Here is a 26,032-nt window from a genome sequence, read left to right as displayed (position 1 = left end):
TTTTAAATGTTTTAGAAAATGGGCCTGACGAGGTGGCTCATACCTGTAATCACAGCACTTTGGGAGGCCAAGGCGGGTGGATTGCTTGAGCTTAGGAGTTTGGGACCAGCCTAAGCAACATAGCGAGACTCCTTCTCTACAGAATATACAAAAATTAGCCGGGCATGATGGTGCGTACCTGTAGTCCCAGCTACTCGGGAAGCTGAGGTGGGGGGGATCACTTGAGCCCAGGAAGTGGAGGTTGCAGTGAGCCAAGATTGCACTACTGCACTCCAGCCTAGGTGACAGAGTGAGATCTTGTCTCAAAAAAAAAAAAAAAGAAAAAAAGAAAAAGAAAGGAAGGGAGGGAGGAAGGGAAAGAAAGAGAAAAAGAGAGAAAGAGAGAGAGAGAAAGAAAGAAAGAGAAACAGAGAAAGAAGAAGAGAGAGAGGAAGGAAGGAAGAAAGGAAGGAAGGAAACCTTGTTGCACAATTAACAAAGTGAAATCTTCAGAGACACATGGCCTCCATCCCTGTGCCTCAGCTCTCTATTCCCTTCTCCTCCTAGAGGTAATCAAGGTTTTTTTGTTTGTTTGTTTTGTTTTTTGAGATGGAGTTTTGCTCTTGTTGCCCAGGCTGGAGTGTAATGGTGCGATCTCTGCTCACTGCAACCTCCACCTCCTGGGTTCAAGCTATTCTCCTGCCTCAGCCTCCTGAGTAGCTGGAATTACAGGCATGTGCCACCATGCCCAGCTACTTTTGTGTTTTTAGTAGAGACAGGGTTTCTCAATGTTGGTCAAGCTGGTCTTAAACTCTCAGGTGATCCGCTTGCCTTGGCCTCCCAAAGTGCTGGGATTACAGGCGTGAGCCACCACGCCCAGCCTGGTAGTCAGGGTTTTTTGTTGTTCATTTTCATTTTATTTTTCTATTTCTCTGCCTCCCAGGCTCAAACCATCCTCCCACTTCACCCTCTTGAGTAGCTGGGACTACAGATGCACACCACCATGCCCGGCTAATTTTTGTATTTTTGGTAGAGATGGGGTTTCACCATGCCACCCAGGCTGGTCTCCAACTCGTGAGCTCAGGTGATCCACCTACCTCAGCCTCCCAAAATGCTGGAATTACAGGCATGAGCCACCTTGCCTGGCTTGTTCTTCTGGTTTAAAAAATGTAAGTATAAGGATCTATTCATATCCTCTTCTCCCTTTAGTTAAACGGTAGGATATTACCTTTATTTTTTGCCACCCTACTTTTTTCACTGGCAGTCATGCCACAGATATTTCTTATGGGTTCTACAAGTGCACAGTATTTTACTATGTTAATGAATCTCAGTTTTATTCAATCATTCTGTGCTGAATGAACTTTGGGGATGTTTCTAGTCTCTTACTATTAAAAGTAGTGCTCACTGAATAATCTTATGTATATGTCTTTTTGTATTTTTGAGATAGATGGATCAATTGGTAAATGGTATATAAAATTTTGCTAGATTTTGCCAAATTTCCCTTGAGAAAGAAAAGTAGCTCAGAGCAGTCTGAAGAATGTGACGTATGTAAAATTTATTAGGACCAGAGAGACATGACAATGAGTCTTCAGGCCAGGCATGGTGGCTCATGCCTATAATCCCAGCAATTTGGGAGGCCAAGGCAGGTGGATCACCTGAGGTCAGGAGTTCAATACTAGCCTGGCCAACATGGTGAAACCCTGTCTTCACTAAAAATAAAAAAATTAGCCGGGCGTGGTGGCAGGTGCCTGTAATCCCAGCTACTCTGGAGGCTGAGGTAGGAGAATCGCTTGAACCCGGGCGGCGGAGGTTACACTGAGCCAAGATCGCACCTGTGCACTCCAGCCTGGGTGACACAGGGAGACTCTGTCTTGAAAAGAAAAAAAAAAAAAAAAAAGAATGAGTCTTCAATCACAGCCTGCCCCCTTTCCCAGGTGTCATCCTCTCCCTCACCAGGGCAGCTGCTTAAAGGCAATTTCTTTTTTCTTTTCTTTTCTTTTCTTTTCTTTTCTTTTCTTTTCTTTCTTTCTTTCTTTTTTTTCTTCCTTTCTCTTTCTTTCCTTCCCTCTCTCTCTCTCTCTCTTTTTTTTTTTTGATACAGAGTATTGCTCTGTCACCCAGATTGGAGTGCAGTGACGACATCTCAGCTCACTGTAATCTCTGCCTTCTGGGTTTAAGCAATTCTTGTGCCTCAGACTCCCGAGGAGCTGTAATTACAGGTGCATACCACCACACCTGGCTAATTTTTGTATTCTTTCGTAGAGATGGGGTTTCACCTTGTTGGCCAGGCTGGTTCTCAAAGTCCTGGCTTCAAGTGATCCACCCGCCTCACACTCCCAAAGTGCTGGGATTACAGGCATAAGCCACTGCACCCAGCCTGGTTAATGGCATTTAGTTTTTTCTTTCCTTCCTTGTAGTTTCCAGACTAGCTGATAAATTACCTAAAATGCTATCATAAATTGCACTATGTGGCCTTCACCCATTATATTCATGTTCTTGGGATTAGTGATATAAAGAATAATGTATAGCCAACCAATAGCTCATGTTCAATTTAGGAACCACCCCATTTTTTCCTTTGGAAACCCACTTGTAACTGCTGCTAATTGGAGCATATATTTCAGGGCAACTTGAACATACATTTCCGAAATTAAAGTACTCGAATTTGGCCCAAATACACTTTTGATTTATACTAATTTTACCTCAGTTTCATTCTTAAGGCTGACACCCTCCTCATGGATGGTACCATTTTTTGCATTCCCACCAGCAAAATATGAGTGCCTCTTTCCTCACCGCCTGGTAAACACATTATATTGTTGAACTTTGAGATTTTCTCCCAATCTGATAGTTGAAAAATGGCATCTCATTTTAGTTTAAATTTGCATTTATTTTACGGGTAGTACGATTCAACATTTTCATATATTTAAAGGTCCTTTATTTTCATTTTGTGTGTGTGTGTGAACTGCAAAGTGTTTGTATCTCTTGCCTATCTTCCATAGGATGGGTTTCCTTCCCTTCTCCATCTTTAGAAGCCCATCATATATTAGGAATATTTGCAGCAGTGTGCTAAAGCTGGCTAGTGCCAGCTTGCAAGTGCTGACTGTTAAATTTTTAGGAATTTTGCAGTCCCGCTGATGTAGCATTAGTGCAGCTGATATTACATTGGCAAGTTAACACTGGCTATGGTGGAGTATTTACTCTATGGAAATTGGCAAATGCGATAACATCCTCCTGACCCCCACTCCCGGGAAGAACACATTACTGGACATTAACCCATTGTCTATGACATAAATTGGAAATCATATTCCCGGTTTGTCATTTATCTTTTAATTTTGCTTATGATGTCTTTTGCTATGCAAAAATGTTATTGTTGTTTTGTATACCTCCAATTTTGGTCTTTTCCTGTATTGCATCTGGATTTTGAGTTAGAGTTAGAAAAGTGTTTCCAATTTCTTGATTATAGAAAATTTTCATCATATTTTCTTCTAGTATTTATATAGCTTTACTTCTTTCAAAAAATTAGATATTTGATCCATTGGAATTTATCTTAAGTGGAAAAACAGATATGATGGTGCTCTTGTTTGAACATGTCCTCCTAATTTCATGTGTTGGAAATGTAACTCCCAAATTTATAGATTGGTGGCATTTGGATGTGGGGCCTTTGGGAGATAATTAGGATTAGATAAAGTCATCAGGGTAGGGCCTCCATAATGGGACTGGTGGCTTTATAAGAAGACCAGAGACCTGAGAGGTTGACATGCTCTTGCTCTCTTGCCATGTGATGCACTCTGTCATATTATGATGTAGTAGGAAGGCCCTTACCAGATGCTGGCACCCTGCTCTTGGACTTCCCAGCCCCCAGAATCACGAGCTAAGTAAGCTTATTTTCTTTATAAATTACTCAGTCTGAGGTATTCTGTTATAGCAACGGAAAACAGACTAAGACAGATTGTATCTTCTTCCACTGGCTACCCATTTATGACAGGACTATTTATTAAGAAGGTCTTCTTTTTCTCTATTGATTTGAGATGGCATATTTACCACTTATTAGACTTCCAGATGTCATTAAGTTTATTTTTGGGTTTTCTTATTTTTTAAAATTTTTGGCTTTTCTATTCTGTTTTATTCATGTGCTGCCATGGGTTTGAACATTTGTCCCCATCAAAACTTACGTTGAAATTTATGCCATTGAGACAGTGTTGGGAGGTGGGATCTTTGGTTAAGTATTTGGCCCATGGGGCTCCACCCTCCTGAGTGGGTTTAGTGCCTTAATAAAGGGGCTTTCAGGCATGGTCTCTTTGTCTCTCTCTCCCTCTCTCTCTCTCTCCCACCAGATGCTAGCACCTGATCTTGGACTTCTCAGCCACCAGAACTGTGAGCCAATATGTTTCTTTTTCATTATAAGTTATCCAGTCTCAATATTTTGTTATAGCAGCACAGAATCCACCAGGGACTCATGTTGGGTCTACATTTAAAATATATGCAAGAAGAGGGCATCCGCAGAGGACAGCTGCCCGGCACAAGTGCCAGTCTGAGTGGAGTGAGGAAGATGTCTCCATGTAGACGGCAGTACAGTGTGGCTCAGGGTTTTGGAGTCTGCACAGAGTGAGTAGAATGCTCATAGCGATAAGCAGCCTGGCCTGTGATGTCAGAGCCCAGAAGTGGTGAGAAGGATGTCTGTGGAGGGGGTGGTCTGGTCCAGCATAGAGTATCAGAGCCCCAGCCAGATAAGAGTGTCCATATATCAGGCTGATGAGTGGTCGGTATGGAATTCTGTAACCCAAGTGGGGTGAGGAGGACATAGAATAAACTAAAATATGTGTCAATATTATTTTCTTATGGTACAGGCTTCCTCATTGTCCGTCTTTCTTAGGGCTTTCTCAGATATTCTTATTTATCTTTCCAAGTGAACGTCCTAATAAAATTGTCTTAGCTCTAAGGCGCCCTCTTCTGTTTCTTTTGCAAAGTGTTAAACAATATGACATTGTAGTATCTGAGTTCCACCTTCTCTGTTCTGTTCCTTGACTTTTGTCTAGACCTTATCTTTCTTTTTTCTCTAATATCCTTGTCTGGATAATTTGAATTCTACTCCCAGAAGTTTCTCCTCAGAGAAAGCATTTCCTATATGCATCCAGTACAATTTGAAATCACTAATTTAGCTGCTGAATAGTTATGGAATTTGGGGCAAAATTATCCTCATTTTTTAAATCTATAAATTGTAAATGAAATGTAATTTATTTCATAAGGGGTTTTTTTTGACAACTAGAAGTAATTTTCTTTTTTCTCTTTTTCCTTTTTTTTTTTTTTTTTTTGAGACAGTCTCATTCTGTCACCCAGGTTGGAGTAGAGTGGCACGATCTCAGCTCACTGCAACCTCCACCTGCCAGGTTCAAGCGATTCTCCTGCCCCAGCCTCCTGAGTAGCTGGGACTACAGGCAGGCGCCACCATGCCTGGCTAATTTTTTGTATTTTTAGTGGAGACAGGGTTTCACCATGCTGGCCAGGCTGGTCTCAAACTCCTGACCTTCTGATCTGCCCACTTCGGCCTCCCAAAGTACTGGGGTTACAGGCGTGAGCCACTGTGCCCAGCCTAGAAATAATTTTCAATCAGTTCTCAGTCCTACCTATCAGCAGAATTTGACTCATTTCATCATATTCTTCTTGAAACACATTCTTCAATTGACTTCCACGACACCATACTCACCCAATTTTCTTCTTAATTGGCCTCTCCCTCTCTTTCAGGTTTTTTCAATGTTTCTTCCATATCTTCCAACCTCAAAATGTTAGACAACCTCAGAACTCAGATTTCAGACCTCTCCTCTCTATCTAAAGTTGCTCCCTAGTGAGCTTGTACCATCTCAAAAATTTAAACATATTGACAACTCTCAAATTTATGTCTCCAGCCTGGACCTCTACCCTGTGGTCAAAATTTATACATCTGCCTCCTTCCTTATTTTCTCTGCCTGGATGTCCAACAGGTATCTCGAAGTTAACTTATTCCAAAACAACTCTAATATTTTCACCCAACCTGTTTCTCTTATAGTCTTCCCAATCTCAGCTAATGACAATTCTATTCTCCCAGTAGCTCAGGAGAAATCTCTTTTTTTCCCTCACTTTAATCCATCGAATCCACCAGGGACTCACGTTGGGTCTACATTTAAACTATATGCAAGAAGAGGGCATCTGCAGAGGAGAGCTGCCCAGCACAAGTGCCAGAGTCTGAGTGGAGTGAGGAAGATTTCTCCATGTAGACGGCAGTACAGTGTGGCTCAGGGTTTTGGAGTCTGCACAGAGTGAGTAGAATGCTCATAGTCATAAGCAGCCTGGCCTGTGATGTCAGAGCCCAGAAGTGGTGAGAAGGATGTCTTTGGAGGGCGTGGTCTGGTCCAGCATAGAGTGTCAGAGCCCCAGCCAGATAACAGCGTCCATATATCGGGCTGATGAATTGTCGGCATGGAATTCTGTAACCCAAGTGGGGTGAGGAGGACATCTGCATGGAGAAAGGGTAGGCAGTGGTGATAGAAGGTTGGGTATACACAGAGTGACTGATCATAAATGTGGATACATGAAGGACATGAGAGTCTGTTAGAGACACTAACTCAAAATCCAGAAGCAATGTGTTACTCTGTGTTAGGTAGATAAGAATAAAAGAAGACTGAATGTAGTGGTTCACACCTGTAATCCCAATATTTTAGAGGCTGAGGTGGGAGGATCCCTGGAGCCCAGGTATTTGAGACCAACCTGGCCAACATAGCAAGATCTTGTCTCTACTAAAAAAAATTAAAAATAAATAAATAAATAAAAATTAGTGGGGAGTGATGGCATGTGCCTGTAGTTCCAGCTACTTGGGAGGCTGAAGCAGTAGGATCAATTGAGCCCAGGAGGTTGAGGCTGCAGTGAGGTATGATCATGCCACTGCTCTCCAGCCTGGGTGACAGAGTAAGACTCTGTCTCTAAAAAATAAAATAAAATAAAATAAAAATTGGTGGCTTCAATATATGAGGAGAAGACAAGACTAGGATTGTAGTGAAGGATGGAAGGGAAAAAATGAAAATAAATCCTAGAATATTAGATCAGAAATGAAGGTATCAATGTAAACTCATGGCTTCAGTAATACATAGATAAACATAGAAATAAATGTAGATGTAAACGTGTGTGTAAATGAATACAAACATATTTACATATTCCTTAGCCCTGTCCTCTGAGAGGGCCTTAAAGCAGCAACACATTAATAGTAATGAGCACACTGAATGCACGGGCCTCAGTTTCTAAATTCCATATTCCACTAAAGGAAACCAGGGATTCTTGGAGAAATGGTTGATCTCAGCCATTTCAATGTGTTGCTGGGTCTAGGAAGTCCAAGATGAACCTGGACCTTCTTATGCCAGAAAGTAAAGAAGTGCACAAAGAGTAATGGGGACATGCCAAAAGGACACAGATGCTAGCTAACACGAAGGAGATTCCATTAGCCAAATCTTAAATGATTTGAACATCAAAATAAATAATAATGACAATGGCTTACAACCAATTTAATAAAATAAGAAACCATATAAATAAATGTAAGATAGTGAGTAAATTAAAAGTTTGATGAAAGATAAGGTATTTACAAAGTCTGAACTTCAACTACCCTCTTACAGAATACTTTTTTTTTTTTTAAAGACAGGGTCTCACACCGTTGCCCAGGCTCTAGTGCAGTGGTACGATCATAGCTCCCTGCAGCCTCCACCTCCTGGGCTCAAGTGATCTTCCCACCTCAGCACCCCACTCAACCCACTCCCTGAGAGGCTAAGAATATAGGCTGGGCCACCATGCCCAGCTAATTTTTTTTGAATTGTTGCCCAGCTGGTCTTAAACTCCTGAGCTCAAGCAATCCTCCCTCCTCAGCCTCCCAAAGTGCTGGGATTATAGGCGTGAGCCACCGTGCCGGGCCTAGAATACTTGTTAATTACAAATGGAAAAAGAGTAATTTCATAGTGGAGAGATCCTGCAGACACCACCTTAACTGGGTGATCAAAGTTAGCATCATCAATAATGCAACACATTAAAATCATATGCCATCTGATAGAACATAACAAAATCACAGCACTACTTCTGTAATATTATCTACCAAAGATGAATAAGCTGAATAGAATCATGAGAGAACATCAGATAAACTCAAAGAGAGGGTGTTCTACAACATAACCTTCCCATAATCTTCAAGAGTGTCAAGGTCATTACACTGGCATAGTATGGGAAGTTAAAAAAGAAAACAAAACAATGAACAAAGAGTGTCAAAGTCATAAAAGTCAAGGAAAGACTACGGAATTACTCCAGATTGAAAGAGAACTGAAAGAGAATAAAGACATGGAAACTGAATGCAATGTGTGATCTTGAAAATCACACAACTAAAATTTACTGTATGATTTCATAACTTCTGTTATAAAGAACATTAGTGGAACATTTGGGGAAAACTGAATAAGGTCTGATTAAATGTTAGTCATGTGATTTTTTTCTTATTTTAAAAGTTATAGTGTGGTTATGCAAAAATGTCATTGTAGGAAACATACATGAAAGTATTCAAGAATGATGGGGCATCTCAAATGGCTCAGAAAAAAAGAATCTTTGTACTGTATTTGCAACTTTTCTATAAGTTTGAGATTATTTCTAGGAAATGAATATTTGTATTCAGAATCCAACTAGCTCTCATCACCTATACCATGCAAGCTTAAGTCATCATCCTCTCTCACTTGCATTATTACTTAAAACCACCATGATCACTTTATTTTCTCCCATGGCTTCTGTGGTTCAGGAACTTAGGAAGGGCTCAGCTGGATAGTTTTGGCTTGAGGTGTCTCACGCAAGTGCAGTTAGATGGCTAGAGTTGGGACACCCAGGGAATAAAGCACTACTCTCTCCATGTCATCTCAGGACGTTCCTAAGTGGTTTCTCCATGTGGGCTAATCTGGACTTCCTTACAGCCTGTTGGCCTCAGGGCAGTCAGATTCCCCATGTGGCAGCTATAGGCTTCCAAAATGAGTGTCCTGGTGAACAAATCAGAAGCTGCTTTGTCTTTTATGACTTAGCCTTGGAAGTCACATAATATCACTTCCACCATGCTCAATTGGTCAAAACAGTCACAGAAGCCTATTCAGTTAAAGGTGGAGGGGACAGGGACCTCACCTCTTGATGGGAGAAGTGTCGAAGATAAGCTCATGGACTGGGAGTGGGCGTCGTGGCCATCTTCAGACAATACCATTTGCCACAGTGGTTTGTTAGGCCCTGTAAGGTCTGGACCCTCACTACCTCCCTGAGCTTTCTTGTTGAATAACTTTCATTTCTTGCTCTCTCTGTTCCAGGCAGAATGGCTTCTTTGGAAACTCAAGCACGCTCCTCCCTCAGGGGCTTTGCGTTTGTTCTTTTTCTCTCTAGAACATTCTTCCCCCAGATATTTTATTTATTTATTTATTTTCGAGACAGAGTCTCACTCTATCACCCAGGCTGGAGTGCAATGGTGCGATCTCGGCTCACTGCAACCTCCATTTCCCGGGTTCAAGTGATTTTCCTGCCACGGCTTCTTGAGTAGTTGGGATTACAGGTGTGCACCACCACGCCTAGCTAATTTTTGTTTGTTTGTTTGTTTGTTTATTGAGACAGAGTCTCACTCTGTCACCCAGGCTGCAGTGCAATGGCGTGATCTTGGCTCACTGCAACCTCTGCCTCCCGGGTTCAAGTGTTCAAGTGATTCTTATGCCTCAGCTTCCCAAGTAGCTGGGACTACAGGCACATGCCATCCCACCCAGCTATTTTTTGTATTTTTAGTAGAGATGGGGGTTTCACCATGTTGGCCAGGCTGGTCTCGAATTCCTGACCTTAAGTGATCCGCTCATCTTGGCTTCCCAAAGTGCTGGGATTACAGGTGTGAGCCAACACATCCGGCCAGGATATTCATTTATTTATTGAGACAGGGTCTTGCTCTGTTGCCCAGGCTGGAGTACAGTGGTGTGATCACAGCTCACTACAGCCTCAACCTTCCAGGCTCAAGCAATCCTCCCACCTCAGCTTCCCAAATAGTTGGGACCACAGGTGCACACCACCACACTGGCTAATGTTCTTCTTCTTCTTCTTTTTTTTTTTTTTTTTTGTAGAGGAGGGGGTGTCATTATGTTGCCTAGGCTGGTCTCAAACTCCTGGACTCTAGTGATCCTCCCGTCTTGGCCTCCCAAAGTGCTGGGATTACAGGTGTGAGCCACCACACCTGGCCTGGAGTGGATTTTTATAGTAGTGGATAACTGATGTACCTTCCTTCTCTTTGTCTTACTACAATCACTACAATCCTAGTAATTATTTCTCAAACATGAACCCTCCTATTCTTTTGTTCTCACCTAGGTAACACATAGTGTGAAGCAACATACAAACACATATACATGTTTCTTGGAAACAAGCTGTATTAGTTCCCTAGAGCTACAGTAACAAATTACCACAAACTAGGGGGCTTGAAACAATAGAAAGTTATTCTCTCACAGTTCTAGTGACTACAATTCATAGCCAAGGTAAGGGCAGGGTTATTCTCTCCCAAGGATCCTAGGGGAGAATCAGCTTTGTGTCTTTCTCTTGGCTTCTAGTGTCCCTAGCAATCTTTGGTGTTCCTCGGCTTGTAGCTGTATAAGCCCAATATCTGCTTCCATCGTCACATGGCATTCTCCTGCTATGTTTTCAGGTCATATTGGATTAAGAGCTGACCATCTTCCACTATGACCTGATCTTAACTACTTATGTCTGCAAAGACCCTATGTGTAAGTAAGGTCATCTTCTGAGGTACTGGGGATTAGGACTTCAATATATCTCCTGGGGGAATACAATTCAACCCATGACACATGCCTATCATTTCCCCCTCAGTTGTACATTGTAGAGTTGTACATTGAAGACTTAAACATTTCAGTCTTCAAATGTGACAAAGGCCGGGCATGGTGGCTCATGCCTGTAATCCCAGAACTTTGGCAGGCCAAAGCAGGAGGATCATTTGAGGTCAGGAGTTCAAGACCAGCCTGGCCAAAATGGCAAAACCGCTACTAAAAATACAAAAATTAGCGGGGCATGGTGGTGCAGGCCTGTAGTCCCAGTTACTTGGGAGGCTGAAGCAAGAGAATCTCTTGAATCCAGGAGGCAGAGGTTGCAGTGAGCCAATATCTCGCCACTGCACCAGCCTGGGTGACAGAGAGACTCCGTCTCAAAAACAAACAAACAAAAGTGACAAAACAGTAATTCTTAGTATTTAATCAACAAAACCCTACTGAGTGCCTACTATGTGCAAAGCACTCATCTGGGCTTTATTTGCTTCAAACTAATCTGTATAAACACTTGGTCATTAAATTAGAATTTGAATGAATTTGACCTCAGTGTTTTTCAGTTGGAACAAGGTAGGCAGTGAGGAACAGATCCATACAAAGGCCTGTGAATGGCGAAAAGACTATGCCAGGCACAGTTGCCAGGAGATTTCACAGACTGGCAGTTACTCATTTGTAATCAACAACCTTTTGCAAAGCCAAAGTTGATTGGTGTTTTGCGGGCCTGTTAATATGACCACGACACTCAGCTTTTCATCCCCGCAATGACAGGATGATTCCTCAGCTATTTTTGTTTGTTTGAACATTTTTTTTTTCTAAACCAAATTTCCCCAGGATTTTCTTTCTGGTTTCTTTTGGAGCTGAAACCTCCTATGTTCCCAGCTTTGGAGATTAGAAGTACTTTCTCCACACCTTCAGATTTTCTAGTATTGCATAAGTTGTACTTGTCCAGACTTGCTCATTCTTTAGTTAGTTCTGTTCAAGTTTTCTCATCCTTTCATTTATGTTGTTTACTTCATCCCTTCCTCTGCTTTCCATGGGTTATTTTGATGTCCTTTTCCCAATTACATGAATTCAATGTTTAATTCATTTATTTTCATTCTTTTCATTCTTTCTTGCTTAGTAATGAGTATGTATGAGCCCTGCTGGGCACAGTGGGGTGGCTCAAGCCTGTAATCCCAGCACTTGGAGAGGTCAAGGCGGGCAGATCATTTGAGGTCAGGAGTTTGAGATCAGCCTGGCCAACATGGTGAAATCCCATCTCTACGAAAAATATAAAAATCAGCTGGGCGTGGTGGCGGGTGCCTGTAATTCCAGCTACTCGGGAAGCTGAGGTATAAGAATCACCTGAACCTGGGAAGTAGAGGTTGCAGTGAGCTGAGATCGCATCACAGCACTCCAGCCTGGGCAACAAAACAAGACCCCGTCTCAAAGAAACAAAACGAGGCCGGGCGCGGTGGCTCACATCTGTAATCCCAGCACTTTGGAAGGCCAAGGCGGGTGGATCACCTGACGTCGGGAGTTTCAGACCAGTCTAAGCAACATGAAGGAACCCTGTCTCTGCTAAAAATATAAAATTAGCCGGGTGCGGTAGCGTGTGCCTGTAATCCCAGCTACTCGGGAGGCTGAGGCAGGAGAATCACTTGAACCCGGGAGGCAGAGGTTGCCGTGAGCCGATTGCACTCCAGCCTGGGCAACAAGAGCAAAACTCTGTCTCAAAGAAAAAAAAATGTACAAGGTATGTATTTTCTTTCTTTCTTTTCCACACCAGAAAGTATAAAGGCTAATGCCTTTTCTAAGTACCAGGCTGTCTACCTATTGAAATCCCCCATCCATTCACTCAGCTACGATTCACTGACTGTCTCACCCTGAAGTCATTTCTATCTTCTTTGAAATCAGTTCTGGACCTCTGAGGAGAATGGTAACTGTGTTTTATTTTCAGAGAGCCTTCTTTCTGCCTTAGCATAGTGTCCGGGACAAAGCAATGATGATAAATGGACAACCATTATTGAACATTGACCCCGTAGCTGGCATTGCACTAAGTACTACATTATTTTAACTCCTCCATTCTACTCCTCTATGCCCATTTTACAGGCAAAATGATACTCACTCGAACGTTTTTGTCCTCTGTTTCCATTCTTGAAACATGCCAAACCTCCAGTTTTAGGGCCTTTTCCTAAAACTGGACATAGGAAGGGCCCATGTCTCTCTCTTCCATATTCTAATTAAGCACTCAGCACACATGCCATCTCTTCAAAGCTTTTCCGACCGCCTATCTACAACAGCCTGCCTCCACAGTTTCACACACTCTTTTACGTTATTTATAAAAGAGTCTCACTCAATGGAAGCTGGATTTCCTCTCCTGTAAAATGAGGTAGGCCCTCTCGGCTCAAGGTCACTCCCTGTGATTCTACACAGAGAGGGAGTGGGAAGAGAGGGCGCTCGGCAGCAGAGGAGGAGGAGGAAGGAGGGAAGGGCGAAGGCGGGAGTGGGTGCAGAAGCGGGGGGTCTGGCGGTCCAGGGGGGTAGAAGGGAGGGGCGGATTCGAGTGGGCGCCAGGTGGAGGTGGGGCCAGGGTTGTCAAGGGAGCACGAAAGGGGTCGCGGTGTGTCCGGCAAGGACTGGGTAGGGCAGCGCCTGCTATGGACTAGGGGCGAGGGCTACGAAAGGGTTGTTGGAGGGGTGGATGCGGGTGGATCCCGAAACCAAGCGGCTCCGAGGGGCGACTAGAGGTGGGGAGGGGGCGCGCAGGAGTTGCCAAGGTCGGACAGAGGGGAGCGCGGTCTATCCGGCTGGGAATGGGCCGGACAGGGCGCGGGGTTCCGGGGTCGCGGAGAGGCGCGGAGGTAGATCTGAGCCGAGTGGAGGGCGCGTGGGGGTGGGTGCAGAGGGGCGCCGAAGGGATCCGGGCCCAGCGGCCGGTGGAGAGGGGCCGCGGAGAGGCGCAGGTGGGAGCTGGGCGGCCGAGCGAGCGCAGAGGGGGCGCGGCTTGCGCGGCTTGCGCGGCTGGGCGGGAACAGGCGCTCGGTCGGGGGCGGGGGGTGCGCCGGGGTAGCCGAGAGGCGGACGCAACAGCGGGGTCCCGCGCTGTCTGGGCGGCCCCAGGGGCTGTCGGCTCACTTCCGGGAACGCCGGGGAACCGCAGTAGCCGCCTGCTAGTGGCGCTGCTAGCCGGCCGGCGCAGGCTGCCGAGCGGGTGAGCGCGCAGGCCAGGCCAAAGCCCTGGTACCCGCGCGGTGCGGGCCTCAGTCTGCGGCCATGGGGGCGTCCGCGCGGCTGCTGCGAGCGGTGATCATGGGGGCCCCGGGCTCGGGCAAGGGCACCGTGTCGTCGCGCATCACTACACACTTCGAGCTGAAGCACCTCTCCAGCGGGGACCTGCTCCGGGACAACATGCTGCGGGGCACAGGTGGGAGCTCTGGGCCCAGGGCCGGCCGTGCGCTGTCACCCGGGTCGGACTTCGCGGGCGAGGGGCCGAAGCTGGGCACGCGGGTCCCTGGCTGCGGGCGCGGCATTTCCCTCCCGCCGCCCGGGACAGAGACCTCGGGCTGCTGAGCGACTGCGCCCCAAAACCTCCGGCCTCCGTGGGCCGCTTCGGGCGGGTTATGGGGTGGCGGTGGGGGAAGGGACTGGAAAGTTAGGTCGAGCTCGAAGTTCAGAGATGAAAGGAAACCACCGGGCTTTGTTTCAGAGGCCCAAGTCCTCCCAGTGGCAGCCACTCTTGGGGGTCCATCGAGCTGAGCCGCAGCTTGTTCAACGTGCTGGTGCCTTTGGAAGACTGTCATTAGCCCTGCTAGAGTCTGCTCGTTCTGTTTTGTTTTCTTTGTTTCTTTCTTTTCTCTTTCTTTTTTGGTGTGGTTAAGCTCTATGAGATCTTGTAGTTCTGACCTTTCCCCCATATTCCCAAGGCCAAGTATTATTTACCCTTGTTGCAGTCATAAAATTATCTCATTTTGATATCCTTAGATTTCGTAGACACGAAGGCTATTCTTGTGCATGGTTCTATAAAATATTTTGTTTCTCATGCCAAATAAATTCTTACAGCTCGGCACGAAAGGCAGTTAACAATCTACACTATACAATGGGTGAATTTGTGGTATGTAAATTCTCTCTTAAGAGGGTTGTTTTTGAAAAGCCAATCGCAGGAGTTTTTTTCTCAAAAAATGTTGACCTTACTTTTCAAAATAGAACCCGTTTTGAAACTCATTTTGAAACCCATTTACATAGAAATAATGCTTCCACAAGGCCTTTTTCTTTTGTTTTCCTTCTTTTTTTTTTTTTTTTTGTAAGGATAGCAAACAGGATAGACGTGCATAGCATAAAAAACAACGCCCTCTTTCGTTCCCTACCTCAGTCCCATTCTTCGGAGGGGAACAGAGTTTTCCTTCTAGAAAGGTTTACTTTTTAAGCGCAGATACGTGTACCTTTTTTCTTTTTTTCTTTTTGGTTTGTTTGTTTTTTGAGACGGAGTCTTGCTCTGTCTGCCTCCTGGGTTCAAGCAATTCTCCTGTCTCAGCCTCCCTAGTAGCTGGGACTACAGGCGCATGCCACCACGCCGGGCTAATTTTTTGTATTTTTAGTAGCGATGGGGTTTCACTGTGTTAGCCAGGCTGGTCCCCATCTCCTGACCTCGTGATCCACCCGGCTCGGCCTTCCAAAGTGCTCGGATTACAGGCGTGAGCCACCGCGCCCGGCCAACGTGTATCTTTTCTTGTATGTAATATGTGAGCATACTATGTGTATATACTCTGCACTAGTGTGGTTTCACTTTGTGTCTGGGATATATTTCACATGAAAACGGACAAATCCATTTCATTCTGTTTTTGTAGTATGTATTTTCTGAATCTAGTATGATTTATTTAACCAGTTCACACTTGTAATCCCAGCACTTTGTGAGGTCAAGGCGGGCGGATCACTTGACCTTAGCAGTTCTAGACCAGCCTGGGCTACTTGGTGAAACTGCGTCTCTATAAAAAATTCAAAAACAATTAGCGAGGCGCAGTGGCAGGCACCTGTGATCCTAGCTACTCGGGAGGCTGAGGAGAGAGAATCGCTTGAACCTGGGAGGCGGAGGTTGCTGTGAGTCGAGATTGCAACGCTGCACTCCAGCCTGAGCAAGACCCCATCTCGAAAAAAAAGAAAGAAAGAACAGAGATTGTTTGACTTGCTTGCTAAATGTTGTTAATGCGACATACTGAAGTAGTTAGGTAACATTAAACAGTCCCAGATACTGCTACTGGTTGGGGTCAGGTTAACCAAAGTCTAGGAGAGTAGGCCTGGCGCAATGGCTCATGCTTGTAATCCCAGCACTTTGGGGGCTGAGTCGGGCAGGTCACTTGAGGTCAGGAATTCAAGACCAGCCTAGGCAACATGACGAAACCCCCGTCTCTACCAAAAATACAAAAAATTAGCTGGGCATGGTGGCTCGCGCCTGTGGTCCCAGCTTCTCTGGAGGCTGAGGTGGGAGTATCACTTGAGCCCGGGATGCAGAGGTTGTCATGAGCCGAGATTGTGCTACTACACTCCAAGCTGGGTGACAGACAGAGTGATACCCTGTCTCAAAAAAAAAAAAAAAAAAAAAAAAGTAAAGCATATTTATTATAAAAGAAGGAAACTATATCTATTTCATGCAAATGTAAAAAAGGTAAATTAAGATCCCTCATAATTCTGCCTTGCCACACAGAGATGATTATAATTAACTCTTGGGTGCATTTTCTTTTATTCTTTTTTTTTCTTTTTCTTTTTTATTTCTGTTGCATTTGTATTTGCAAAATGGTTGTATTCTAAAATTGTCATATTCTAAATGATAGGTTACTTTTTTATTCTCATTTATAGTGAGCATGTTCACACATCATTAAGCAGTCTTAAAAATGATGTTTAAGCTGGGCGGGGTGTCTCACGCCTGTAATCCTAGCACTTTGGGAGGCTGAGGTGGGTGAATCACCAGAGGTCAGGAGTTCAAGACCAGCCTGGCCAACATGGCAAAACCCTGTCTCTACTAAAAATACAAAAATTAGCCAGGCATGGTGGTGGGCGCTTGTAATCCTAGCTACTTGGGAGGCTGAGGCAGGAGAATCACTTGAAACTGGGAGGCGGAGGTTGCAGCGAGCCGAGATGGCGCCATTGCATTCCAGCCTAGGTGAAAAGAGCGGAACTCTGTCTCAAAAAAAAAGATGTTTAATTTTATCAAAGTTGTATAGTTATTAAACATTTTTATTGGACGCGTATGTTGTTAACTATTGTTTGTTGTAATAAATACTGTTATGACTATCCCTGCACATAAACATTTGGCAAATCTTTGCTTATTTCCTTCAAATAAATTCCTAGTATGGAATTTCTACAAATATGGTACTATCAAATAATACAACAGAAGGATTGTGCCAATTTAGTTTCCAGTCATTGTTTCATGAGGGTGCTATATTTTATAACCCATGGCTGTATTTTATAGCTAAGGTTTAAAATCATCACAGGAGATATGATAAGGACACTGGAAACTTTAGGCAACTCATTGACAGTAGCAAAGCTGGAATAACTGTAGGTCATCACTGAAACTTGGAGTCAGGGAACTTGAATCTGACCTTAAGACATTTAGTCCAGTCCTCTCTTTTATTGTATTTTATTTTTTTGAGACAGAGTCCCCACTCTGTCGCCCAGGCTGGAGTGCAGTGGCACGATCTCGGCTTACTGCGACCTCCGACTCCTGGGTTCAAGCGATTCTCCTGCTTCAGCTTCCGAACTCAGGTAGCTGGGACTACAGGCTTGCACCACCGTGGCTGGCTAATTTATTTTCAGTAGAGATGGTTTTGCCGTATTGGCAGGCTGGTCTCGAACTCCTGACCTCAGGTGATCCAACCGCCTTGGCCTCTCAGAGTCAGACCTCTCTTTTAGAGATGAGGAGACTGAGTTCAGGAGAACTTGCTTGATAGTAAACAGTATTTATTGGGGGATTAGGGTGAAAACATAGATTTCTCCATGTTAAATACTCTTTTCTCTATGCAGTATTTCCCACATTGAGATTCATGAGATAGACATGAATTAGACGATGAGATTCATGAGATAGACATTTTAGATAGACAAAAACTTTTTATTTATTTTAAAGCAGAATTGAAACAGACATAAATCTAGCACATGAAAGCTGTATTTCATGAAAATTATAGCTATTAATTTTTAAAGCTAAGTCACTTTAAAGAAAACTATATAGTAAAGAACTATATAGTAAAGAAAAACTATATAGTAAAGAACTATATAGTAAAAAAAACTATATAGTGAATAATAGTTCAACTATGGTAGAAATCGTGAGGTTGAAGTGTGATTGCTTAGTCTGAGAAAGCTGCACTGTAGCATAGTGCGTCTCAGAGACATAACCCTGGCTAGGTGTGGTGGCTTATGCCTGTAATCTCAACACTTTGGGAGGCCAAGGCTGGAGGGTCATTTGAGCCCAGGAGATTGAGACTAGCCTGGGTAACATGGTGAGAACCCGTCTCTACAAAAGATAAAAACATTAGCTGGATGTGGTGGCACGTGCCTGAAGTCTCAGCTCTCTGAGAGGCTGAGGCGAGAGGATTGTTTGAACTCAGGAGTTCGAGGCTGCAGTGGGCTGTGATAGCACCACAGTACTCACAGTGACAGAGTGAGACCCTGTCTCAAAAAAAAAAAGGAGACATAACCCTAGACTAGACGGCCAACCCTTATGAATCTCATTTATTCTCATCTATATGATGGGGGAGATGAATGTAGTAGATAATCTTCAAGACTTCTGTCAGTCCCTGGATTCTATATTTCTTCAAAACATTATTATGTACACCTGTGGCACATAGGCTTGCATAATTAGAATGATACTGATGGCAAAGCGGAGTTGTTTTTTTTTTTTTTTGGAATGGTAAAACATTTAATTTGTAATAGGCAATTCCAAAAATATAAAAGGATATTTCATGAAAAGATTCTTCCAAGATATTTTATGCTTATACAATCAAATGTTTACCTATGCTTCTCTTTGTGTATGTGTTTTTTAAAACACAGATTATAGCATGCTGTATATACTGTTTTATACCTTTAACAATACTGCTTTGCATATGGAGTGCCCCATTTCATTTTTTTCTAATAGCTTTATTGAGATATAATTAACATACCATATAATGTATCCATTTAAAGTATAAAACTCAGTGGACTTTAATATATTCACAGAGTTGTGCAGACATCACCAAAATCAACTTTTTTTTTTTTTTTTTTTTGAGATGGAGTCTCGCTCTGTTGCCTAGGCTGGAGTGCAGTGGCACGATCTCGGCTCACTGTAACCTCCGCCTCCCACGTTCAAGTGCTTCTCCTGCCTCAGCCTCCTGAGTAGCTGGGATTACAGCTGTGAGCCACCATGCCCAGCTAATTTTTGTATTTTTAGTAGAGATGGGGTTTCACCATGTTAGCCGGGCTGGTCTCGAACTTCCTACCTCAAGTGATCCACCCACCTCGGCTTCTCAAAGTTCTGGGATTACAGGCGTGAGCTACTGCACCTGGCCTTCATCAATTTTAAATTAATATATTTTTTCTTTTAAAATTTTTTTCTTTTTAAAATATTTTTTTGGCCAGGCATGGTGGCTCACACCTGTAATCTCAGCACTTTGGGAGGCCGAGGAAGGTGGATCATTTGAGGTCAGGGGTTTGGGATCAGCCTGGTCAACATGGTGAGACCCCGTCTCTACTAACAATACAAAATAAAATTAGTTGGGTATGGTGGCGGGCACCTGTTGGGAAGCTGAGGCAGGAGAATGGCTTAAGCCCAGGAGGCGGAGGTTGCATTGAGCCAAGATCATGCCACTGCACTCCAGCCTGGGCAACACAGTGAGACTCTGTTTCCAAAAAAAAAAAAAAAATATATATATATACACATATACTATGTATATATTTATATATGTATATATATATTTATATATGTATATATATTTATATATGTATATATATTTATATATGTATATATATTTATATATGTATATATATATTTATATATGTATATATATATTTATATATGTATATATATATTTATATATGTATATATATATTTATATATGTATATATATTTATATATATATTTATATATATATATATTTATATATGTATATATATATATGGGGTCTCACCATGTTGGTCCAGGCTTGTCATGAACTCCTAGCCTCAAGTAATCCTCCCCTCTTTAGCCTCTCAAGGTGTTGGGATTACAGGCATGAGCCACAGTGCCCAACCTTTTAAAAAATTAATATTTTTTCTTTAATAATCAATTTTAGAACATACCCATCACCCCATAAAAGAAACTTCATACCTATTAGCCGTCACTTCTGTTCCTACCCCACACCCCTCCACCTGAGCCTCTGGCAACACCAACTCACCTCCTGTCTCTTTTGAGTTTTCTGTACTGGACATTTCATACAAATGCAATCATACAATATGTGGTCTTTTCTGACTGGCTTCTTTCATTTAGCTTAGTGTTTTCAAGGCTCATCCACACTATAGCATGTTTACTACTTCATTCTTTTTTATCGCTGAATACAATTCCATTTTATGGATGGGCCATGTTTTATTTATCCATTCATAAGTTGGTGAACATTTGGGTTGTTTTCTCTTTTTCTGTTATCTTATGGGTGTACCATAGTTTGTTTAAATAACTTAAAGAACAATTTTAAAAAGGTAAGCCTGGTCATGAATACTGTCTCAAAGAAAGTAGGCTTTTGCTAGATTGGTATTTTTTAACAAAATAAGTTAGGCCTTTTAAAATTCCATGGCTAGAATCTAGTAGAATCCAGGGAGCTTGTCTCTCCATCTATCCATCTCTTCATCCATCTGTCCATCTAACCATTCATTCAGGCAACTATCCGTGGATCCTTTAAGCATCAGATATGTGCTAGGTAGTGGAGACACAGAGAGCAACTGATTTCACTAGGTGCTCACAGAGTGTGGGCATGGGAGCAGGAGGGCAGATGGACATGTGTGTTAGTCAGCTCAGGCTGCCGTAACACAATACCACACACTAGGGGGCTTATTTTCTTATAGTTCTGGAGGCTAGAAGTACAAGACCAAGGCACTGGTAGAGTTGGTTTCTGGTGAGGCCCTTCTTCCTGGCCTGTCTAGTTGCCTTCTCACTTTGTTCTCACATGGCCTTTCCTCTGTAAGCAGGCAACCCTGATGTCTCCTCCTCCTCTTATAAAGACACCAGGCTTATTGGATTAGTGCCCTCCCATTATGACCTCATTTAATCTTAGTTACCTCCTTTAAAGCCCTATTTCCAAATATAGTCACCCTGGGGGTTAGGTTCCAACATACAGATTTAGGGGAGACATACTTCCATCTATAACAACATGTAAACACGGTCATTGGAGTGATATGTGTCTCAATAGAGACAAGTCTGTGACATTTGGAAGTCCAGAGGGGGAGCTTCCAGTTCCCTAGGAGGTTGAGGGACACTTGACCATGAAGGGCCGTTTAGGGTGTGTGTTGAAAAATCAATAAGAGCTTACCATGCGGCTTGAGTAAAGGCTAGGAGGATCCATGTGTGTAGAGCTCCTTGCTGGGGGTGTGGTTTCAGGGTGAAGTGCCAATGGGGAGGATGAGGGAGGAGGAGAAATAAGATGAGGCTGGACCCAGGTGGGCATTTATGTAATTGTCAAAATCAGAATTTATCCGAAGCAGAGTGAATGGGAAGGGGAGTGTAGACCTGGAACAGGAACTCTTTCTGGATGCTTCACTGAAGAGGAGAGAGATTGAGTGATGGTGAGCGGGAGGAACAATGGTCAAGGGAGGTTTTCATTTTTAATATAATTCTTGTGCAATATTCCATGCATCAGAGTATTATAAGGTCTGTGTATGGTTAGAAGAAGAATAAAATGAACATGATTTACCCATCACCAGAGAGAAACAAGGACTTTGGGGGCCCTCCCGTTCCCCTTCCATGCACATCTCCTTCCTGCTTCCCAGAGGTAACCACTTTGTTGACTCAAGTGTTTATTATTTGAGAAAGGTTTTTTTTTAAAGCCCTTGATTGGGTGTAAAGCTATCATTTAACTAATTTCCTGACATTCTCCTAGTTTTGTTTTGTTCTGACACATTTTTAAAGTTAAGTTTTATGTCATTTATAATGATGCTAAAAGCATTTTGGCAGGAGCTAGGTTAATTCTCTGTAGCCTTTTCTCTTGGCACATGTGAAAGAGAACTGCTGGTTGGCGGGTGGCTCACCCCTGTAATCCCAGCACTTTGGGAGGCTAAGGCAGGAGGATCAGTAGAGTCCAGGAGTTTGAGACCAGCCTGGGCAACATAGTGAGACCCCTATCTCTACAAAAAATAAAAAAAAAATTAGCCAGGCATGATTCTGCTTGTCTATAGTCCTAACTACTTGGGAAGCTAAGCTGGGAGGATGCTTGAGCCCAGGGGTTTGAGACTGCAGTGAGTTATAATCATGCCACTGCATTGGCTCTTTGGAAAAAAAAAAAAAAAGAGAGAGAGAGAGAACTGTTATTTACAGTTTGGTCAGGTCCCTCTTTTGTGCTTCATAACTGCTCAAACAGTAAGTTTGAATAAGCTCATTCAGATATGAGGTGTGGTTGATTTGGGTAACATGAAACTTTTAAGGGAGATACAGAATTTAAAATGGCTTTTTATGTAATATAAACATTTATTTCTCATACTAATGTCTCCATGTTTTAGGATTTCTAGTTATTATCCTTAAAAGTTGGTTTTGAGTTTCCCTATTTTTCTCTAACCTTCTTTTCCTACTTTTGTGTATAACTTTGTAGAAAATTAGCTTATCATAAATAATTTACTTTTAAACTGCCTTTTGTGTTTTGTGGAAGTGCCCAAATTTGTTAACTTTTGAATCAAAAAAGGAAATACAGTTGGCCTTGAACAACTTTGGGGTTAGGGCTGCCGATTCCTAGTGTAGTCAAAAATCCACATGTAACTTTTGACATCCCCAAAATTTAAATAGCCTACTGTTGACCAGGAGCCTTACCAATAGCATACACAATTGATTCACACATATTTCATATGATATATGTATTGTATACTGTATTCTTATAATAAACCAAGTGAGAGAAAAAAATGTTATTAAGAAATTATCAGCCATGTGCAGTGGCTCATGCCTGTAATTCCAGCACTTTGGGAAGCCAAGATGGGAGGATCACTTAAGCCCAGGAGTTCAAGACCAGCTTGGGCAAAGCAAGACTCCCTCTCTACAAAAAAGTAAAAAAAATTAGCCAGGCATTGTGGTGTGTGCCTGTTTTCCCAGCTACTTGGGAGGTTGAGGTGGGAGGATCACTTGGACCCAGCACGTCGAGGCTGCAGTGAGCTATGATCATACCACTGCAGTCCAGCATGGATGTCAGAGTGAGACCATGTCTCTAAAAAAGAAAATCATAAGAAAAGAAAATAGATTTACTGTTTGTTAAATGGAAGTGGATCGTCATAAAGATCTTCATCCCCATTGTCTTCATGTCAAGTAGACTGAGGAGGAGGAGGGGTCAGTTTTGTTGCCTAAGAGTGGCAGAGGCAGAGGTAGACCCATGCGGTTCAAATCCATGTTGTTCAAGGGTCCACTCTAGAATTTTTATGAGGAGTCTGTTAAGATGTAATGTTAAATGTAGGTAATCAAATGGATAAAAGTTTACCATATCTCCAGAGAACATGCTGGTTAAGAGTCTTTGCATATAATTTTGGGAGGGGGTAAATATATTTGAAATGTAATATGTTAACTGCTTAGACTCAGATTAGGGAGTTAAGTCTTTTTTTTTTTTTAAGTAAGCTTCAATTGAAGCATTATAGGCTCCAGGTTTTAATAAATATTGTGGATAAATGCTTATTGATATAGAAAGTTCATGATATAGACACCATTAAATACTGTGCAGCCATAAAAATGAACAAGATTACGTCCTTTGCAGGGACATGGATGGAGCTGGAGGCCTTTATCCTTAGCAAACTAACGCAGGAAAAGAAAACCAAATACCTCATGTTCTCACTTATAAGTGGGAGCTAAATGATGAGAACACATGGACGCATAGAGGGAACAATTCACACTAGGGCCTTTCAGAGGATGGAGGTGGGGAGGAGGGAGAGGATCAGGAAAAATAACTAATGCATACTAGCTTAATACCTGGGTGATGAAATAATCTGTACAACAAACCCCCATGACACAAGTTCACCCATGTAACAAACCTGCACATATATCCCTGAAATTATAATAGAAATTATAAAACAACAACAAGAACAATAAAATAAAAACACTTTACATTTGAGAAAGAATGACAATATCAGTAGGTAAAACCAACATCAACAGTTACAAGACCATCCTTCCAGCCAAGTAAGGCAGTCAAAAGAGGTGTAGATCTGGTAGCAGAAACTGGGTCCATAATTATCAAAGTGGAAGTTCACAGAGCAATTATAACTGAGAAGATAAAAACTCATGTAACTTCCATTCAGTACTGCAATTTAAAAATAGATTTTTTTCACAATAACTATATACAAGATAATATATTTAACACATAAAACAAAAGAGAAAAATAACAATTCTTTCTCATCACACAAAAATCTATTTAGAATGTTTAAGATATCAATCTAATCTCAATGTCTGTCTTGTTCTAATTAAATCATACAAACATAAAAAAGTTCATGATAAATGAAAAACAGATTATTAGACTACACATAGGATTATCTATCTATATATAAACAAAACTCAAAATACCTGGTTTTCGTTTTGTTTTTGTTTTTCCTGAGACAAGGTCTTGCTCTGTCACCAAGGCTGGAGTGCAGTAGTGCGGTCATGGCTCACTGCAGCCTTGACCTCCTGGGCTCAAGCAATCCTCCCACCTCAGTTTCCTGAATAGCTGGGACCACAGGCAATGAAAGTTTTTATATTATCATTAATAATAATTATCTCTGAGTAGTGATCAGACTATGAGTGGTTTTTTTATTTTTTTTCTTACTGGGAATTTTTCATCTGTTCTATTTTTTAAAAAACAAAATCTGTATTGAGATTTAATTCACATACCATACAATTAGCCCTTGTAAAGTGTATGATTCAGTGGTTTTTAGCATATCCAAAGTTGTGCAACCATCACCTCAATCAATTTTAGAACATTTTTATCACTCCAAAAAGAAACGCTGTTCTCATTAGCAGTCATTACCCATTTCTCCCCAACCCTCCCAGCCTTTGGCAACTACTAATCTTCTTTCCATCTCTTTAGATTTGCCTATTCTAAACATTTTATGCAAATGGAATCATACGATATATAGTCTTTTGTGTCTGGCTTCTTTCACTGAGCATGTTTGAAGGTTCATCTATGCTGTAACATGTATCAGTACTTCATTTCTTTTTTTGCTGAATAATATTCCACTGTCTTGATATACCACATTTTATTTACCTGTTCATCAGTTGATGGACATTTGACTTGTTTCTACTTCTTGGTTATTTTAAATAATGCCACTATGAACATTCATTTACAAGTTTTTGTGTAGACATATTTCTTTTTTTTTTTTTTTTAAGAGACACAGTCTCTTCTCTGTCACCAAGGCTGGAGTGCAGTGGTGCAATCATAACTCAACAGCAGCAGCCTTGAACTCCTGCACCCAAGTGATACTCCCACCTGAGCCTCCCAAGTAGCTGGGACTACAGGCATGCACCACCATGCCCGTATTTTTTTTATTTAGATGTAGGATCTTGCTGTGTTGCCCAGGCTGGTCAGGAACTCTTAGGCTTGAGCAGTCTTCCTGTGTTGGCTCCCAAAACATTGGGATTACAGGCATGAGCCACCACAGCTGGCCATATGTTTTTATTTCTCATGGGCATATAGCGAGGGGAGGAATTGCTATCTCTTATGGTAACTGTCTTTCCCCCCTCCCTGCAAGACAGGGTCTTGCTCTGTCACTCAGGCTGGAGTACAGTGGCGCGATCATGGCTCACTGCAGCGTTGAGCTCCTGGGCCTCAGCCTCCTGCCTCAGCCTCCTGAATAGCTGGAACTAGAAACACATACCAAGCACCCAGCAAATTTAAAAAATTTTATTTAAGCTGGGTGCAGTGGCTCATGCCTGTAATCACAGCACTTTGGGAGGCAAAGGTGGGTAGATCACCCAAAGTCAGGAGTTCAGCACCAGCCTGACCAACATGGTGAAACCCTGTCCCTACTAAAAATACAGAATTAGCTGGCTGTGGTGGCGCATGCCTGTAATCCCAGCTACTCAGGAGGTGGAGGCAGGAGAATCG

General features: G+C 42.6%; 1 protein-coding gene across 4 annotated transcripts in view, besides 2 other annotated features; it reads left to right on the top strand.

Annotated features, from left to right (window-relative positions):
• The window catches only part of AK3 (adenylate kinase 3), a 32,488-nt gene continuing 19,557 nt past the window's right edge, over nt 13,102-26,032 (top strand). For 2 of the 4 annotated variants that reach the window (NM_001199852.2, NM_016282.4), the window contains exon 1: nt 13,943-14,208. In NM_001199852.2, the coding sequence (NP_001186781.1) occupies nt 14,058-14,208 (151 nt within the window). In that variant the 5' untranslated portion in view covers nt 13,943-14,057. Of the gene's footprint in view, nt 13,174-13,345; nt 13,425-13,942; nt 14,209-26,032 lie in introns of those variants that run through there. The other 2 variants (NM_001199853.2, NM_001199855.2) reach the window with 2 other exon arrangements.
• Nucleotides 13,554-14,043: a silencer, noted in NCBI's record as "silent region_19747". NCBI's record gives its function as "represses an Ori minimal core promoter by ATAC-STARR-seq in GM12878 lymphoblastoid cells {active_cell/tissue: GM12878}" and the evidence as "EXISTENCE:reporter gene assay evidence [ECO:0000049][PMID:35858748]".
• Nucleotides 14,274-14,413: a silencer, noted in NCBI's record as "silent region_19746". NCBI's record gives its function as "represses an Ori minimal core promoter by ATAC-STARR-seq in GM12878 lymphoblastoid cells {active_cell/tissue: GM12878}" and the evidence as "EXISTENCE:reporter gene assay evidence [ECO:0000049][PMID:35858748]".

Source organism: Homo sapiens, chromosome 9 (assembly GCF_000001405.40).
Source record: "Homo sapiens chromosome 9, GRCh38.p14 Primary Assembly".
Classification (NCBI taxonomy): domain Eukaryota; kingdom Metazoa; phylum Chordata; class Mammalia; order Primates; family Hominidae; genus Homo; species Homo sapiens.
Note: the sequence above shows the minus strand (reverse complement) of the source record. Positions and strands in the feature narration are given on the sequence as shown.